The sequence below is a fragment of the Homo sapiens genome, chromosome 17, assembly GCF_000001405.40.
Source record: "Homo sapiens chromosome 17, GRCh38.p14 Primary Assembly".
NCBI classification, from domain to species: domain Eukaryota; kingdom Metazoa; phylum Chordata; class Mammalia; order Primates; family Hominidae; genus Homo; species Homo sapiens.
Window position 1 is genome coordinate 20221554 of NC_000017.11, and position 19336 is coordinate 20240889.

General features: G+C 42.8%; 1 protein-coding gene across 34 annotated transcripts in view, besides 1 other annotated feature; it reads left to right on the forward strand.

Annotated features, from left to right (window-relative positions):
• The window catches only part of SPECC1 (sperm antigen with calponin homology and coiled-coil domains 1), a 309668-nt gene that overhangs the window by 212195 nt on the left and 78137 nt on the right, over positions 1 to 19336 (forward strand). For 25 of the 34 annotated variants that reach the window (NM_001386083.2, NM_001386078.2, XM_047437065.1 and 22 more), the window contains 3 exons: positions 5860 to 6067; positions 10205 to 10278; positions 10647 to 10852. In NM_001386083.2, the coding sequence (NP_001373012.2) occupies positions 5860 to 6067; positions 10205 to 10278; positions 10647 to 10852 (488 nt within the window). Of the gene's footprint in view, positions 1 to 5859; positions 6068 to 10204; positions 10279 to 10646; positions 10862 to 15306; positions 17878 to 19336 lie in introns of those variants that run through there. The other 9 variants (NM_001386084.1, XM_017025325.2, NM_152904.4 and 6 more) reach the window with 3 other exon arrangements.
• Positions 10272 to 10772: an enhancer, noted in NCBI's record as "H3K4me1 hESC enhancer chr17:20135138-20135638 (GRCh37/hg19 assembly coordinates)". NCBI's record gives its function as "activates a minimal SCP1, AML or CMV promoter by ChIP-STARR-seq in naive H9 embryonic stem cells {active_cell/tissue: H9 hESC(naive)}" and the evidence as "EXISTENCE:reporter gene assay evidence [ECO:0000049][PMID:30033119]".

Here is a 19336-nt window from a genome sequence, read left to right on the forward strand (position 1 = left end):
ATAGTCTGGCCAAAGTTTTGTCAATTTTGTTTATCTTTTCAAAAACCAACTTTTTGTTTGTTGATCTTTTGTATTTTTTTCATTAAAATTTCATTTATTTCTGCTTTGATCTTTATTGTTTCTTCTCATTTTGGGTTTCATTTGCTCTTGCTTTTCTGGTTATTTAAGATGCATTGTTTGTTTATTTGAAGTTTTTCTCTGTTTTTGATGTAGGCGCTGATTGCTGTAAGATTTCCTCTTAGTACTGCTTTTGCTGTATCTCATAAGCTTTGGTATGTTGTGTTTCCATTTTCATTTGTTTTAAGACATTTTAATTTTTTCTTCTTAATTCCTTCATTGACCCACTGGTCATTCAGGAGTGTATTACTTAATTTCCATGTATTCGTATAATTTCCAAAGTTCCTCTTTGTGATTTCTAGTTTTATTCCATGGTGGTCAGAGAAGATACCTGATATGATTTCAGTTTTTTTTTTTTTTTTTAAGTTTTAGGAGTTACAGGGCCAGGCGTGGTGGTTCAAGCCTGTAATCCCAGCGCTTTGGGAGGCCGAGGCGGGCACATCACCTGAGGTCAGGAGTTTGAGACCAGCCTGGCCAACATGGAGAAACCCTGTCTCTACTAAAAATACAAAATTAGCTGGGTGTGGTGGCATGCACCTGTAGTCCCAGCTACTTGGGAGACTGAGACAGGAAAATTGCTTGAACCCAGGAGGCGGAGGTTGCAAGTGAAGCGAGATCGCACCACCACACTCCAGCCTGGGAGACAGAGCGAGATTGTGTCTCGAAAAAAAAAAGTTTCAGGAATTATTTTGTGGCCTAACATGTGGTCTCTCCTTGAGAAGAATCATGTGCTGAGGAAAAGAGTGTGTATTCTGCAGCCATTAGATGAAATGTTCTGTAAAGGTCTGTTAGTTCCATTTGTTTTGTTTTATAGTGCAGATTAAGTCTGATATTTCTTTGTTGATTTTCTGTCTTATTAACTTTTTGTTGTTGTCTGTTGTTTCTATTTACAGCTTATTATACCATGTCTTGAAAAGTTGTAGTTATTTCTCTTGATAGATTCATCTTTTAGTCTTTCTGTTTAAGATACGAGTAGTTGACACATCACAATTAGTGTTAAAATATTCTGTATTTGTCTGTGTACTTGCTGTTACCAATGAGTTTTGTATGTTCAGATGATTTCTTTTTGTTTGTTAATGTCCTTTTCTTTCAGATCAAAGAACTCCCATTTGCATTTCTTGTCTGCTGTTGATGAAATTTCTTAGGTTTTGTTTGTCTGGGAAAGTCTCTATTTCTCTGTCATGTTTGACATTTTTTCCTTCAGTACTTTAAATATGGCATGCCTCTCTCTCCCTGGCCTGTAAGGTTTCCACTGAGAAGTCTGCTCCTTTGTTTCTTTTTTCTTGCTGCTTCTAGGATCTTTTCATTATCTTTGCCTTTTGGGAATTTGTTTATTAAAATGTCTTACTTGGGCAAAGTCTGCTTGGTGTTCTATAACCTATTGTACTTGAGTATTAATATTTTTCTCTAGATTTGGGAAGTTCTCTGTTGTTATCCCTTTGAATAAACTTTCTACCCCAATCTCTCTCTCTACCTCCTCTTTAAAGCCAATAACTTACTAGATTTGCGCTTTTTTTAGACTGTTTTGTAGATCTTGTATGTGTGCTTTATTTTTTTTAAATTTTGTCTCCTCTGTATATTTTCAATTAGCCTGTCTTCAAGCTCACTAATTTTTCTTCTGTTTGGTCAGTTCTGCTGTTGAGACTCTGATGCATTCTTCAGTATGTCATAAACTTTTAGCTCCATAATTTCTGCTTTATTTTTAAAAAATTATTTCAATCTCGGCCGGGTGCGGTGGCTCATGCCTGTAATCCCAGCACTTTGGGAGGCCGGAGTGGGCAGATCACGAGGTCAGGAGTTTGAGACCAGCCTGACCAACATGGTGAAACCCGTCTCTACTAAAAATACAAAAATTAGCCGGGCGTGGTAGCGCCTGCCTGTAATCCCAGCTACTCAGGAGGCTGAGGCAGGAGAATCGCTTGAACCTGGGAGGCAGAGGTTGCAGTGAGCCGAGAAAGTACCACTGCACTCCAGCCTGGGCGACAGAGCAAGACTTTGTCTCAAAAAAAAAAAAAAATTATTTCAATCTCTTTATTAAATATATCGAAAGGATTCTAAATTCTTTCGCTGTGTTATCTTGAATTTCATTGAGCTTCCTCAAAACAGCTATTTTGAATTTTCTGTCTGAAAGATCACATCTCTGTCACTCTGGGATTGGTCACTGGTGTCTTATTTACTTCATTTGATGAGGTCATGTTTTACTGGATGGTCTTGATGCTTGTGGATGTTCATAGATGTCTGGGCATGGAAGAGTCCGGTATTTATTCAGTCTTCACAGTCTGGGCTTGTTTGTACTTGTCTTTCTTGAGAAGACTTTCCAGATATTCAAAGGGAATTGAGTGTTAGGATCTAAGCCTTTGGTCACTGCAGCTGTGTCCGCATTAGGGGGCACCACAAGCCCAGTAATGCTGTGATTCTTGCAGACTCATTGAGGTATCACCTTGGTGATCCTAGATAAGATCTAGGAGAATTTCCCGGTTTATGAGGCAGAGTCTCTTGTTCCTTTTCCTTACTTTCCCCTAAACACACAGAGTCTCTCTCTTCATGCTGAGCTGCCTGGAGTTGGAGCAGGGGTGATGCACTTCTGTGGCTACCACTACTGGGACTGTGCTGGGTCAGACCTGAAGCCAGCCCAGCACTGGGTCTCAGTCAAAACTTGTGGTGACTATTGCCTGGCTACTGCTGATGTTTATTCAAGGCCCAAGGGCCGTTTAATTAGCAGATGGGGAATCTAGCCAGGCTTGTATCTTTCCCTTCAGGGTGATGGGTTCCCTTCTAGCCCAGAGTGGGTCTAGAAATGCTACTTGGGAGCTGGGGCCTGGAGTCAGCAGCTTTAGCAGTCTGCTTGGTTCTTTATTTTATTGTGGCTGAGCTGGTATCCAAGTTGGAAGACAAAGCCCTTTACCCTTCCCTCTCCTTTTCTCAAGCCAAAGGGATCTCTGCCAGTGGCCACCGCCACCCCAAGCCTGTGGCAGCACCACTGATGTTTATTCAGGGCCCAAGTTCTCTTTAGTCAGCAGGTCTGGATCTCTCCCTTCAGGTCCACGGTGGGTCTAGAAATGCTGTCCAGGAACTAAGGCCTAGATGGGGGACTTTAGGAGCCTGCTTGGTGCTTTATTTTACTGTGGCTGAGCTGTGCCCAAGTTGCAAGATGAAGTCCCCTTTACTCTTCCCTCTGCTTTCCTCAAGCAGAAGGGATCTCTCCCTGTGGCCACCACAGCTGGGAATGCACTGGGTCACACCTGAAGCCGGTACAGTGTGTGGCCCATGATGAGTACTGTGTGGGTACCACTGATGTTTAATCAAAGCCCAAGGACTCTTTGGTCAGCAGGTGATGAATGCTGCCAGGACTGGGTCCTTCCTTTCATGACAGTGGGTTTCCTTCTGGTCCAGGCTATGTCTAGAAATGTTATCTGGGAGCTAGGACCCGGAATGGGGGCTTCAGGAATCTGCTTAGTGCTTTATTTTACTGTGGCTGAGCTGGTATCCAAGTTGCAAGACAAAGTCCTCTTTACTCTTCCCTCTCCGCCCAGAGCTGTGAGCTGTGCTGCCTGGGGTTGGGGGAAGAGTGGTGCAAGCACTCCCTTGGCTGCTCCAGGTGGTGTCTCACTGGGTCATGTGCACTCCAAGTCCACTGTCTGAGCCCAGCACAGCACCAGGACTTGCCCAGAAATTGCAGCCCTTGTGGCCTAGCCTCTTTCAGATTTACTTAGGACTCCAAAGTGCTTTAGCCCACAGAGGTAGGGCTTGCCAGAACTCAGATTCTCACTGGAATGGAAGATTCCCCTCTGGCTAGGGCTGGTCTAAATGCTCCTTTTATGGGTGCTGGCTGAATTCTGTCCTGTGTTGCTTTCTGCTGTGATGGGACAGCACCAAATTCCAATGCAATCTCACAATCATTGTGCTTTCCCTCCCCCGGGGTGCACAGATGCTGTCTCTCTACCATGTGGTTGCTGCCAAGGGATGAGGGAGAGGGGATGTTGGAGAGTCAAGACGGTCTTTCCTCCCCTCTCCGGTGCATCTTTCCTTGATATGATGTGTTAAAACCAGGCACTGTGATCGTTCATCTGATTTTTGGTTCTTATGAAGATGCTTTCTTACGTGGATAGCAGTTCCATTTGGTGTTCCTGCAGGGAAGCCATTGCTGGAGGATCCTTTTTGGCCATGTTGTTCTGTCTCCAGGTCTCTCCTCCTTTCCTTATCCTTTGTCACAATTTCCCAGTGAATGATCCTGCAGTGCTGCCTCCCAGTGTTCATTCAATCATTCATCAAATATTCATTAAATGCCTCCTGTGTGTGATGCTGTGTAGATACTAGGGGTGCAATGGTGAATTAAACAGACAAGGTCCCTATTCCCATAGAGCTTATAGCCAGAAGGTTTTGCACATGAAATGTAATTGGAAAAAAATTTCATTTCATACAAAGAAACCCCACCCCCAGCGCCAGATTACCTGGTAAATATACAGCTATTTAGTAATGTTAATTAAAGGACTGTAGAAAAGGGACAATGATGTTTATTGCAGCATTTTTGTAATAATAAAATAATATAGTCAAACAGTGGAATACTATGCACCAATTAAAGTAATGACTTAGCATGATGTGTATCAGTGTGGATACATTTCAAAAACACAGTTAAAATGCAGGAGCATAGTAAGCATAGTATTGTAGAGGACAAAGCATATTACCATGTTATAAATGCAGAATAATACAGATACAGTATAATCCACTGCAAAAGCACAATATAGTGTAGCATTGTGTAAAAGGACAATACTATGTATTGTCATGGACACATGCATATATAGTAAAAGTGAAAAACCATTCAAGGATTGACCACATACCAATTTTAGGATAATGCTTATTACTCTCTGAGGTAGGAGGGAAGATTGAGGTTTTAAAAAATTCTTATTAAAGTAAAAAGATTTTGCAAATGTGACAACATTTAACCATTGTTAAGTCTGTTTGGTGCATGATTATTATTTTTGGTGCTTTTCTGTGTATTTAAAATGTTTAACAATTAAAAAATTGAACAGATGAAGCGATTGTGCCGTGCCACTTTTCTGCTTCTGTGTATGTACGTTTTTGTGTGCCTTCCGCCGACATTCTCTATCACATTTTTGCTGTGATAGAGCATGAATGTGATAGAGAATCTTTAGAGTTTCCTCTAAAGAAGCATTGCAGCCCCAAGTATCTTATCTCTAAGGGAACCTGGGGGTGTGCAGATTAGCCTGGCTTCAGGGTTGTTGTTCACAGCTCAGCAGCAGAGGGCGCTGCTCCATAGCAGATGTGCGGTGGGGGTGGCCACACCAGGCAGCTCTCTTGGTGCAGGGCCAGTGCCTCCCAGGGAAGCACTGCTCTCCCAGGGAAGCACTGCTCTCCCCAGCTGTGGGAAAGAGGAATATTTAAGTACGTGCAGATTCCCTCCTGCTTGTAGGAGGGGGCACAGAATCCAGCCATTTGGAAGCATACATCGTGTTTCTCTGACTATTCACAGCCTTGGCTGTTTCTGAGGCTAAGAATGCAAGAAACAGCACATGCCAAGGGCGTCTTTGCTACTATGTCCGTGAGCCTGCTGCTGACTTGTGGGGAGCTTTTCGTAATGTTTTATTTTAGATTGAAGAGGTTCATGTTCAGGTTTGTTACATGGGTATATTGCATCATGGTGGGGCTTGGCCTTCTAGTGTACAGATCACTGTGGGAATTTTTTTGTTGTTAACTGACCAAGGAACCTTCCTTTTATTTTAGGTGGAAAAGGATTATTCATACCTGAAGGAGATATGTGATCACCAAGCCGAACAGCTGAGCAGAACCAGCCTAAAGCTGCAAGAAAAAGCATCAGAGAGTGATGCAGAGATCAAAGACATGAAAGAAACCATATTTGAATTGGAAGATCAGGTGGAACAGCACCGGGCTGTCAAGTTACACAATAATCAACTCATCAGTGAGCTAGAAAGTAAGTGGGGTCTGCCAGGCATGGTGGCTCACACCTATAATCCCAGCACTTTGGGAGGCTGAGGCAGGAGGATCACCTGAGGTCAGAAGTTCGAGACCCAGCCTGACCAACATGGTGAAACCCTGTCTCTACTAAAAATACAAAATTAGCCGGGCGTGGTGGTGGGCGCCTGTAATCCCAGCTACTCAGGAGGCTGAGGCAGGAGAATCACTTGAACGCAGGAGGCGGAGGTTGCAGTGAGCCGAGATTGCGCCACTGCAAAAGAAAGCAAATGAGGTCAAGCCCAGGAGAAATGTGGAATGGAGCTGAGTAGGACACTAAAGAAACCAGCAGCAGTGGGTGACGAGGGGGGGTGGGTTTGACTGTATGTTGGCTGGGGTTTATGAAGTCTCTCATTTGAGTGCGCTGTAATCTCCTAGGAAGAATGTCACCTAAGAAACAATCATTAATCTCCAGTTTAAAAACTAGAGATTAAGAGATCAATGATCATAGCAGTTGAAAACTGGGATGACAGAAGAACAGGCTGTTGAACATGAGTCAGCAGTGTGTAGGTGATTGCGAAAAATAGAAATGCTTTTCATTTTGTTTTTTTTAAGAAGTCTTGCTCTATCACCCTGGCTGGAGTGCAGTGGTGCAGTTGTAGCTCACTGCAGCCTCAAACTCCTGGGCTCAGGTGATCCTCCTGGCCTCTCAAAGCACTGGGATTACAGGTGTGAGCCACCGTATTGAGCTGCAAATGTTTTTTGGCTGTGCTGGATGTGTTTTGTGTGAGCCATGCTACTGCTGCTGTCTCCAGGCAGCCTGATCAGCTTGAAGGCCACATGTTAGGATACTTTAGCTGTGACTGTGAGAGTTCACAGGGACCCTTCCTAAGGATATTTTGCAGGGTAGGAGAAGGTTATTCAGAAGAAATTGCTTGCCAGTCATCAAGTACTGACACTGTGTTATCTCTTGTATCTGACAGAGATGGATGATAGGTATCAGAGTGGATGAACAATGTGTGCTCTTGGTCTAAGGGAGAAAACAATTCCCGCATGTGTCCCATTGGTGGTAGGATATCAAGTAACTTCTAGATGTTTGCCACTTAGTTGCTGAAGAGACATCAGCATATGGCTTATTTATGAACTCATAGTTTGCTTTGAATTGGGAAAGAAATTTTTAAAAGAGATTAAACATTACCTTCTTTGTCCAAATAAGCCTTACCAAATTATCACATCTAATGTGTTTTCTTTTGTAACAAAAGATTTAATGCACAAAGCATTTAGTCACACCAGCCATTACTAAGAATAGCTTGGTCAGTTGCCTGAGAAGTTCCTTACCCCATGCAGTCGATCCTCCTTATTCACAGATTTCACATTGGTGAATTCATCTGCTTGATAAAACGTATTTTAACCCCAAAACCAATACACAGAGCACTTCCACAGTCATTTTCAGACATGCACAGAGAAGTGAAAAGGTTGTGTCATCCAGTGCTTATGTTCCCAACTCGGGTCAGACAGAGACACTTGGCCTTCTCATACTGTACATGTGTCTTTTTTACAGTCTGCTTAATACCATGCTTTTAACATTTTTGTGCTTTTGTTTTTGGTGACTTTGCTATTTAAAATGGCCCTGAGTGCAGTGCTGTCCACTGTCCCCAAGCACAGTGAGGTTGAGACGCACCTACAGAGAAAACACGTGTATTAGGGAAGCTTCATGCAGACGCAAGCTCTTGTCCCGTTGTGCGTGAGTTCGGTGTTATTGAATCAACAAAGCGCATCAGGCTAAGTGCAGTGACCTCATCCCTGTAATCTCAGCACTTTGGGAGACTGAGGCAGGAGGATCGATTGAGCCCAGGAGTTCGAGACCAGCCTGGGCAACATAGTGAGACCCTGTCTTGACAAAAAAATAAAATAAAATAAAAACTAGCCACGTGTGGTGGCGCATGCCTTTAGTCCCAGCTTCTCTGGAGGCTGAGGTGGGAGGATCCCTTGAGCCTGAAAGGCTGAGACTGCAGTGAACCAAGATTGTGCCACTGCACTCCAGCCTGGGCAATAGAGCAAGACTGCATCTCTAAAAAAATAAAAAAACCAAACCAAACAAAAAAGCCCAATACGGTGCATCAGAGAAAGGGAGAAGTTTGACAATATGTATATAAGGCTGCCCTGAGACATGCTAAAGCGATGTGCTAAAGCAGCCAAATTCATGGATTTGTGAGATGACAGCCAGTTTTAAAAAGCTGTGGGCAATATTGTTGTGTGGCTGAAAACCAAAGCAATATTTGTTCACATCACCCAGGGTCAGGAAAATGTTAACCCCTTCTTGGCTAGTGCTGGTTGGCTCCCAAGTTTCAAAAGGCCATAAAGTGTGAGAAAGGTTAACCTTGCAGGCAGGGGAGGTTCTGCAGATCAGGAGGCTGAAGAAGAATTTAAAAATACTTGCTAAGTGTTATTCAGGAAGAGGAAAAAAGGAAAGAGTGGGTTTCCATGGTTGATGAGCCTGGCTTGTTTATAGAGACATTGGCAGATACGTCTATATAATGCAAATGGCATTTTAGTTGATGAGAATGTTGTGACCAGAGGCTTGCAGGAACCTAACCTGTATTTTTCCTAGAGACAATAGTTCGGTGTTTGCTGATTTGGTGTGCATGGCAACTCTCTGCAACTACCATGATTATTAGAATTGACTATGTATTTCAGACATTGACTAGTTGGTTAGAGTGACAGTTGACAGCACCTGCCCCATTTCTCCTTGAACATGACATGTAGTAGAACTGCAGAACCTCAGCGTTCAGTGTCAGTGCCATCCAGGCTGTTCTCAGGATACAACTGAAAACCTGGACGCCATCATCATCAGTGTATCCTTCCAAACCCAGCACCATGATTGAGAAGAAAAGTCAAGACAAGTTCTGTTTTGTTTTTGTTTTTGTGATATTTTGCTGTTGAAAATAGGGTTGTATTGTCCCTAAATCCTTAAAAGTCAGCACAGACACACTAAGAAAACCAGTGTATAATTAATGTCCACAGCAAAATTTAGACACATGCCTGTGGTTATATCATCATATATCCAAGACTGACAACAATGCAAGCCATCTTTTGAAAAACTTTTAAACTTTTTAAAAGGATATTGAGGTATTGTTAAGATATGTTTTTGCACAGAGACCTAGGGACACATAAATCCAGCCTAGACCAATCACTTCTTCCTATAAGATCCTGATGGGAAAGGAATGGACTGGAAAATAAAAGGAAGTTAGGGAGTGTTTTCTACTGTGCAGCATTGATTCCAGACACAAACTCTCAGTCCCACTAGAACTAGAACTGCTGGGGTAGGACCTGCCCACAGCATCTTTTTAGCCTACTCTGGTGATTCTGATTTGCATCCTTCATAGAAAGCTAATGCTCTAGGTTAGAGCATGAGGACCTATTGAGGAATTTCAGCTCAGTGACTGACACCATCAGATTTAAATTTGAATGACTCTGATAGCCAGATGGAGAGAATTGGAGGCAAGGAGAACAAGGGGCTGCAGGTGTCCTTAAGTAGGGAGAGGCAGGCAACCACCTGGGAAGATGTTAAATGCACACATCCCCGGGTTCTGTCTGCCCTTGGAGATTCTGCCTCCAGGTGTCTGGAGTGTGGGACTAGAACATCGGTGCTTTTGAAAAGCTTCACCAGTGATTTAGAGGCTTAACTGTGATTGAGACCCATGACTCTAGAAAGTGCTTTACAAATCACAGGAGGAATAAGCATTCATGTGCTCTGTTATGTGAAAGCCTCTATCTCACAGCAATAAAGGACACTTAGGACGATTGTGTGTGAGTGCGAGGGAGGCCGGACTCGGTATGCAAGTGTGCATGGCCATGGAGGCCTCTTCCCGTAGTGCTGCTATTTGGTTGTGCATTCTGTCTGCTGAGACTGTAACCTCAATACACATCACATATTTTCCAGATCATCCTGTTCTTTATCTCAGAGGAGGCTCTTGTGTCCATTCCCTGGTTTACAGGGTAAATTGAAATTGCTAAAAGTTGCATTTAGAGTAGAATGGATGGATTTGGATGCCTGTTGTGGCATCTGGAGCTGCCCCTTTCTTTGCTACCTAGCGTGTCTTCTCTTAAGAGTCTCACAGCTTTTCTAAGCCCTGTCTGAATTATTTATTTCTAGGTAGTGTGATCAAGCTGGAGGAACAGAAGTCAGACCTGGAGAGGCAGCTGAAGACTCTGACCAAGCAGATGAAGGTGAGATGCGGGTGGGAGCCTTCACCACCATCTTCCTATGAATTACCCGCTCCGAGGTGTGGATCACTCTCTCTATCCTGCTTTCTCTTGGAACGTTTCCACGGCATGGTGGGCCCTGGAACTGTAAATTCTTGTTGGCAGGAAGTAAAATCAAAGGAGTCATTTGGTGTCAGGATGGAGAATTCTCATAACCTGAAGGTGTAATTCCACCAGTGCCTTTTCCTAGCAGTGAGCCACCGTGTAAGCAGGGCCTCACCAAGCACTGATGGCATTTTTTTCTTGGTGACCAACACGGGGACTCTGGGGTCCCTGCCCAGGCACTGGCCCTGGCAGGCGTCTGACATAAGGATGGGCTCTGACATTTTCAGGAGGAGACCGAGGAATGGAGGCGGTTCCAGGCGGATCTGCAGACCGCAGTGGTGGTGGCCAATGACATCAAGTGTGAGGCCCAGCAGGAGCTGCGCACCGTGAAGAGGAAACTGCTGGAGGAGGAGGAGAAGAATGCCCGGTTGCAGAAGGAGCTGGGGGATGTGCAGGGCCACGGCAGGGTGGTCACCAGCAGAGCCGCCCCTCCGTGAGTCTGGTGGGCACCAGGGCCGTGCTTGCTTCTCAATCACTATGTATGGGGCTCCCTGGTGGGGATGGGACTCTTCATGTCTGTGCCAGGTTCTGCTATTTCCTTTCTGAGATCACCCTGAATTACTAGCACCACCTTACCACTAGGAACATTCTGTACAGTACCCAGTCCCTGCCATGCTGCAGCATAAGAGGCTGCTAAGCTCCTCACTTACATATGAAGGGCCAGTTCTAGCCAAGTATCCTGCTAGGCTTAAAGAATAGAAGTCCTGTCTAGAATGCTCCCTGAATCTTAGTATTTATTAATGCAGGGGAGTGCACACTAATAAATACGAATCCACCACCTTGTACAGGTCACTCCCATGCAGTGGGAGAAGCTGGAATCACTCCCAAGGGGAGGAGCCGCCGGAGAAGGACACATTCCTCTGGGCCCAAGGATGTGCCTGCTTATTGAGAACACCCATGAGCTACGTCAAAAGGCCTTGACATAACCTATTTTATTAAAAAAGGATGAGAGTAGAAAACATGCATTTGGCTGATGTGTGACATTCCCTTCTGCTCTTGATGGGGAGAAGCACACAGTGTATCAGCCCAGGGAGCTCTACTAACAGTGACATTTAAGAGGAAGGTATTCCCAAAGTGAATGCAATGTTAATTATTATCTGAAATTTAGATGGTTTACAGACAAATTTATAAACAGCATTTTTTGCTTTAGCTAATATTATATTTACCCAATGAGGAATCAGTGTCCTTAACTTTGAGATTCTTGGATATTAGGAAATGATTTTGAATTTTTAGGTGTCTCTCAAATATCAAACATAGTCTTTTTAGATCAAATTTCCTGGGTTTTGAATGTTGATCAGGTGGCCCTAGTGTTTACATGTTTCCAAGATCAGTGGCTAGCTCCTGAGCCTTTTGATCTGATGTTTGGTTATCATGAATTTCATGACATTGGAAAGAGGAGATTTTTCAGAATTCAGCTGTGATTCTCCTGTCAATTCTGCTCCAAGTAATTCCTTATTTCTTTGTTTATAACTTTTACATAAAATGGCCTTTGGGGAAGGATGAAGATCAGATATAGCTAGCTCCACAATTCACTGTTGAAAAATCAATATCGAGATCATTATTTTATTTAGTTATTTATTTTTAGAGATGGGGGTCTCACTATGTTGCCCAGGCTGGACTCGAACTACTGAGCCCAGGAGATTCTTCTGCCTCAGCCTTCTGACTAACTAGGACTACACATGCGCCAGACAAGGTCATTACTTTATAGACAGAGCTCTCCCTCTGGACACCAAAGGATGTGAATTTTAAGTGGAGGTAGAGGGAGAATAGGAAAACTAGGTTTCACAGTGTTCCCTACTGAAACAGTAGTGAGGCCGTTCTGGGTGGCCTCTGTGTCTGCTTTTGTTTCGTTTGCCTCTGTCTTGCTTCCCTATTGTCTGTCATTGGAAGAAAATCCGAGTCAGAACTTGTGTTGCTTCACATGTACGTTATTTTAATGATAAATGGTAAAAGACAAGTCCTGAGTTTCTATGGTGGCCCTGAATAGGTTCTTGTATGAGATGCTGTGTTTCTTACGTATACTCTGAGACACAGGCCAGGTTCTTCTATGAGATGCCATGTTTCTTATGTATATTCTGAGACACAGGCCAGACCATGCAGCGTGAACCCTGATATTCTAGGAAATCTCCGCATACGTCCTGCCAGTTTAGGACTCCCTATGCTGCATCCTGCATCTTCAATCTTAACGTCACGTTTTTTTTTAAGCACAGAATGTTTCTTTTTTGATTTTCCAGTGATTTGCAAACCTACCTCCCAATCTAACAGTTTAATCCCTTCTCAAAAAACATTTCAAAATTTTAGAATGGACACCAATGAGAACATGTCATGGTACTGAAATCAGGCATCAGAACGTTTCTGTCTGTCAGTGCATTTGGCAGGAAGTCAGACAAGTGCCGGAGATGCTGGTTTCTTGTCTGATTTTGCACTTCTCTGGCAAGCTGCCCCTTGTAAAGAGTTGACTATATGGCAGTTAGTTGCTGGTGGTTCAGCCACTTCCAGCACCTACCCCATGAGCAAGACTTGAAACCAACTCACACCCTCAAAGCTCCGGAAGCCACCTAGTGTTTCCATCTTGACTGAATGAGTTCTTGATTGAAACTCAGTTTGACTTTGACAGTCATCTAGTGAGAACTCAAAAGTCATTCTTGGTTCAGCCACAGCCAAAGAACTTGCAGAGCATTCTCTGACGAGGTCCTCAAGGACAACTGAGAGAAGGTAAGATCACCCAAAAAGCACCTGGATCCAGACATGAGATTACCTGGTTCTTAAGCTCTGTTTGCGTCCGTGGGCACTCACAGGGTTGGTTGCAGCCAGGCTGATAAGCACGAGATGAAGCACCTGGGCAGAAATGCAAACCAGCATTCATTGCTGGAACTCAGTAACTAAACAGTGGGATATTATCTAACTCATCCATGATCTTCGGTCCTGTTACACTTTCACAGATATTTTTATTTCAGAGTCAGAATAACTGATGTTAAGGTATGTGGGGAAGGAAGGCGGTAGCCTCATCTTTGCAGTCAACCAGCAATATCTCATTCCCAGTGTCATGTTTGCAGCCAACCAGTAACATCTCATTCTCAGCCCTGCCTCTTGCCTCTGTTAAAAGAGGTGGGAAGAGGGGGTCGTTTTTGAGGTCTCTTTAAGCTCTGCTGTTCTCTGGACTGGTTGGTTAGCTGACCTTTCCCTGGTGGGAGAGTAAGAAACTCCAGTGCCAGCCTTAGAGTTATTCTGGTGCAATGCCTTGAACCTCTTTGACACAGTGGCATCTCCATATCTTAGTTGTGGCTTGGGAGCCTGCTCTTTCTCTTCCAGAAATGTGAACAAGCCAGTGTGTTTTTAGGGACCTAAAAGTGATCTGTTTCATTGGACACATATAATGTAATAGATGAAAAGATAATAACTTTTTCAGCTCTGGCTCCTCCCAGTTTTGAAAACTACCAATTGAGAAAAAGGCTTTGAAATGAAAACTCTCACTGAAATGAACCCGTCACATCTTTTTCCTGAAAAGTTGAGTCCTGGGACCTGGCAAAAACAGAAAAAACACAGGCAGCTCAATGTAATGATATATTGTGCCGCATACAAGCTTTCTAATGAAAGACATGGTTCGTGAGCAGTGCATGGCACAGGCTTCTCAAGCAGCATCAGGGAAAGACCTCTGTGTTTGTGGCATTTGTTCCTCTTGTTCTGAAACAGCAAATGCCATTACTTTTAGGGTGACTTATCTGATTCTTACTGTGTCTGTCATATAACACCAATAAACATCCATGGAAAACGTCTTTAAAAGAGATAATTAAACACACTTAATATCTGTGCCTAATTAATGCTGTTGGTTTCTAAATAGAATGTCTGTGATTCGAATGTGTTTCATTTTGCCTATACCACAAGTTCTTGCATTGTCCCCTCTTGGAGGTGAGCAGTGTGGCAGCGCAGCACGTGCAGACTCCACTGGAATTGGCTTAACTCCATGTGTGCACATCCGTGTCAGCCTGAGTGTCACTGTGTGTGCCTGTGCTGCCCTCTGTGTTGCTCTGATGGCTCTAATGGGTCACAGCCGCTCAGCATGTGTTCTCCAGCTACCATGGAGAGGGGAGGGGCGGAAGTTGGAGGTATAGATTCTTTAAGGTCCCTTTTCCAGCTGTCTTGCCACAGATGCTCTGATACTGAGCCCCTCTCCCAGGTGGAGGGGGGCTGTTCTCCTGAGGATTCTTAAGCAGTTTCTGAACAGACCTCACCTTAGCACCCATGACGGCATGATGGACAGGGGTCTCCAGCATTTAATTTGGCCCTTGATGCAGAACCTGGTCCTCTCAATGTGCTCTTATTCCAGCTAGCATTATCTGTTCCCTCACCTAGTACTCTTTTTTTCATAGTTTAAATGTACATTTATGACATTAGACACACAGTCTATAATTCTAAAGAGCTGTGTCTGCCTCCCTGTTCTCTGACCCCTGATTTTACAGATTTCAACAATGTGGACATAAGCTTCCCTTAGGCCTTTAGGATTTTTAGGTTGCAGTTATAAAAGCAAGAAGGTTTTTGGCCTTGACAGTAGAGAGAAGCATGAGCCTCTGTAAATTCTGGAGGGGCCTATGGTGTTCATCCTGGACATCTCTGCTTCACCACACAGTTCTTTGCTGGAGAAGTTCTGGTGGAGGAGCCTAGTACAGGCATTTGCAGTCTGGCTTTTTTTTTTTTTTTTTTTATGTCTGAAAACCTTTGGCTTCCAAAAAATTGGAACAGTAGGACTTAAAATCTGTTGGCCTATCCTGGACATTAGCTTTTCCCTGTGGGACAGTGTAAGCTGGAAATTCTTGCGTTTGTGAACTAAGACTGTATTGCCTTAGGTAACTCCTTTACAGCCTCTCCCTCCCGTTTCTATTTTCACAGCTCCCTGGGCTCTGTCAGCTAGCAGAGCATTTGGTGGAAGAAAGACAGCCCAGCTCTTGCCATGATTGGGAGCCGCAGCCATCTCTAGATGAAAGGGGGAATGTGTAGAGGAGAAATTGCCTCTTTATAAAGAGCCCAGTTGTCTCCTTGTGACATTCTCTGTTTCTCAGAGTCATTGCCGTCGAGTCTCTGCTTTTTGTCCACATTTTGGGATCAGCTTACTGCATGATCAAAGATGATGTTTCCCTCTTTTTACTTTTCCTCAGAAGATTGAGCTGTCTTTTATTTGGAGAATAAAATGAAGTTCTGAAAAAAACAAAGTACAAGTCTTATGAAAAGTTATTTGCAGCTGGAGTGCTGAAAAGGGCACAGTGGCAGAGCAGATGCAGAGCTGGGTACAGCGCAGGCCCGAGTTCTTTTGTTTTTTGTTGTTGTTGTTGTTGTTGTTTTGTTTTGTTTTTTTTTTTTTTTTGAGACAGAGTTTCACTCTTGTTGCCCAGGCTGGAGTGCAATGGTACGATCTCGGCTCACTGCAACCTCTGCCTCCCGGGTTCAAGTGATTCTCTTGCCTCAGCCTTCCAAGTAGCTGGAATTACAGGCGCCTGCCACCACACCCAGCTAATTTTTGTATTGTTAGTAGAGATGGGGTTTCACCGTGTTGGCCAGGCTGCTCTTGAACTCCTGACCTCAGGTGATCCCCACCTCAGCCTCCCAAAGTGCTGGGATTACAGACATGAGCCACCGCACCCAGAACCTAAGGCCCAAGTTCTACTTTTTGGTGTTCATTTCTCTGCTTCCTTTTGATCGTGGTGTCTGATCATCTTGGAATTCACATTACTCAAGGCAAAATAGGAAGCCATCTGCGTGATGTCACATTCCGAAGAAGTCAGAAGGTTCGGCGAGTTGGAGCTTTACTCTTGTTGCCCAGGCTAGAGTGCAGTGGTGCGATCTTGGCTCATTGCAAGCTCCGCTTCCTGGGTTTAAGCTATTCTCCTGCCTTGGCCTCCCAAGTAGCTGGGATTACAGGCATGTGCCGTCACTCCTGGCTAATTTTGTATTTTTAGTAGAGATGCAATTTCACCATGTTGGTCAGGCTGGTCTCGAACTCCTGACCTCAAGTGATCTGGCCGCCTCAGCCTCCCAAAGTGCTGGGATTACAGGCTTGAGACCCCATGTCTGGCCCCTTCTGTGGGGTCTTGATTGAGCCCCTTCACTTGGAGTCTGACTTCATTACCTCGTCTGAAACAAGGTGCCTCCAAGCTTTGGGTTGATTTCCAGAATCTTGTTGGGTTAAACATAAGTAGAAGTTTGATCATAAAGGATGTTATTAAGCCGGATAGGTAAGCACGGTGACAATGGCAATAGAAATCTAATGGAAAACGATTGAATGACAACTACACCAAAGTTTCATGGATGAAACTCACCCCAGAAACTTAGTGTTCAAATCAGAGTGATACACAATTCAAAATGTGATTTTAAACTTCTGGAAATATGTGTGTTTGTGAAGATCCAAATCCAATTCAGCAACCTCCATCAGGCAGAAACCTTCTGCAATCCTCACATGAGGAACTGGTTCACAGTGTACACAGCATGGAGCCATTAGTGACGTTATCCAAAGGATGAGACAAGACAAAAGTTACTGTCTAATAAAAGGAAAATTAGGAACAGGAATGCTCTTTAAACTCAGGAAGATCTTTTGGGGTGTCAAACTGGACAGCACAGAATCATTAGAAAAATTAGCTTGGCGTGAGAAGAGACATTGAGGTCTTCTCTGTAAAATTTACTTAGATACTTGTGAATAGGACTGAAATTTATATTTTGGGCACTCTTTACCTCAGATTCAGAGTTCTTAGGATTATTTAAAATTCATTTGCTGGATGTTTTCAAGTATAAACAATAAGAAAACTGCAACTTCAACTTAAAAGGCACTGCTGTATTTGCACCCTATATTTTGACCTGTCGTTAGGTACTGTTGAATATTTTTATCTGTAAGCATTTATGAAGTGCAAAATAAACATGTTATTATATAGAAGCGTCTGCTGCTTAGTTTTAATCACCAGCTACGTTTCTGCAGGGCCTTTATGTCGTTTTGTTCTACATTTTTTTCTGAATACAGTTTCAGAACTTCAAAGTCACATCAAGTAACTAGAATTTGAGGTAGAAAAAAGCTGGATGTAAGTTGTAAATAGGAGGTTGACATGGAATATGAACAGTTTCATTAGTAGAACAAAAGGGCATGGAGTAAAAATGCTAATTTTGCATAAATTTTTAAAACTCTAGGGTCTCAGAAAATATAGCATGGACTTAAAGTCTAGATGTGTTTTGTTGACATTTAAATATGAATAGATTGATGATTTAATGTATTGGATTTTTTCTTAATTATGAAGTATTATTTAGGTATACTAATAACAAAATGGAGACGTGTGAAGAAAAATATTAATCTTTCTTCTCCCTCAGTACCACCTGTGAGGAAATCAGTGTTAACAGTGTGTACATTTTTCTTTACTCATGAATATGTATAGGGTTCATTTTCATATTTTTAATAAAAATTGGATTATATTCTTTTCAGTACTCTGCACCTTTTTATTTTATCATATCATAGGCATCCTTCCAGGTCAATACATAGAAATCTATCTTATTTTAAGAGCAACATGACCTTCCATAGGAAGGATATGTCCTGGAATATTAAAATATTGTCTTACTAATGCACAACAAGGTTATAATTTTTTTTTTATGAGTAATGCTATAATAGCAGTCCTTATTCATATAGTCCTATGTAGTTGTGGTTTTATTTTTATAGAATGGGTTTTTCAAAATACTATTGCTGCTCTAAAGTATATGCACATTTTTATTTTAATAGATGTCTCCAATTACTCACCTGAGTGCTGTGACATTTCACTCTTGAACATGCCCATCTGTATACATCCTGAGCAGTAGTGGAGAGCCTTGATCATATTTTTGCCAATAGGATAATCAAAAAATACTATCTTATTAGCACTTTAATTTGCATTTCGCTGAGTTTTTTTTTTTTTTTTTTTTTTTTTTTTTTTTAAAGACAGGGCCTCACTCTGTCACCTAGGCTGGAGTGCAGTGGTACAGTCATGGCTCACTGCAGCCTCAACCTCCTGGACTTGAGCAGTCCTCCCACCCCAGCCTCCTGAGTAGCTGGGACTACAGGGGCACACCACCATGTCCAGCTAATTTTTTTTTTTTTTTTTTTTTTTTTTTTTTTTGGTAGACACGAGGTCTCACTGTGTTGCACAGAGAGACTGGTATCGAACTCCTGGGCTCAAGTGATCCTCCCAACTCAGCCTCCCAAAGTGCAGGGATTACAGCCATGAGCCACCATGCCCAGCCCTTTCTAAGCACATCTTTGTATGTTTACTAACCACTGCATTTTCTCTTCTAAGAATTACTAGTTTTGCAACTTTTCCCTGCTTTTTCACTGAGCTGATTGTTTTTTTCTCATCAGCTTATAAGTCAGTATTTTATTAGGGATACGGTTGTATCCCCTATATTATGAGCCTTTATCATATTTTTCATGTGATATGGCTTTATCTTTATCATAGAAAATTTTATATTTTTATGTAAACTGTTAGTGTTTTCCTTTACTCTTTTTTTTAAGATTCCTTCTCCCCAGTATTATACAAATGTGCTATTAAATGTCTTCATCTACTTGATGCACACACATATGCAGGCCATTTGATCCACCTCTCTTTATTTAATCTGATGTGAGGTGTGGTTCTTTTTCTCCCACTGGGTAGCACTGTTTATTACCAGAGTCATCCTTTGTCCACTGAATTGAAATCCCACCTTTACATGGTTTATGTCATCCACATTCAGAGAGACCTGCCCTAGATGTGCTCCCATTTCTTTCTCTTTTGAGTTAGCTCTGCTTTAAAATATTCATAGATTATTAGATTGCTTATATTACTTTTAACTCATCCTTTCATTTAAAATTTTTATTTTATTGAATTTTAAGGCAGACAGTATCAGTGTTGAACTCTGTTTCCAGTCATGAATTTACAAA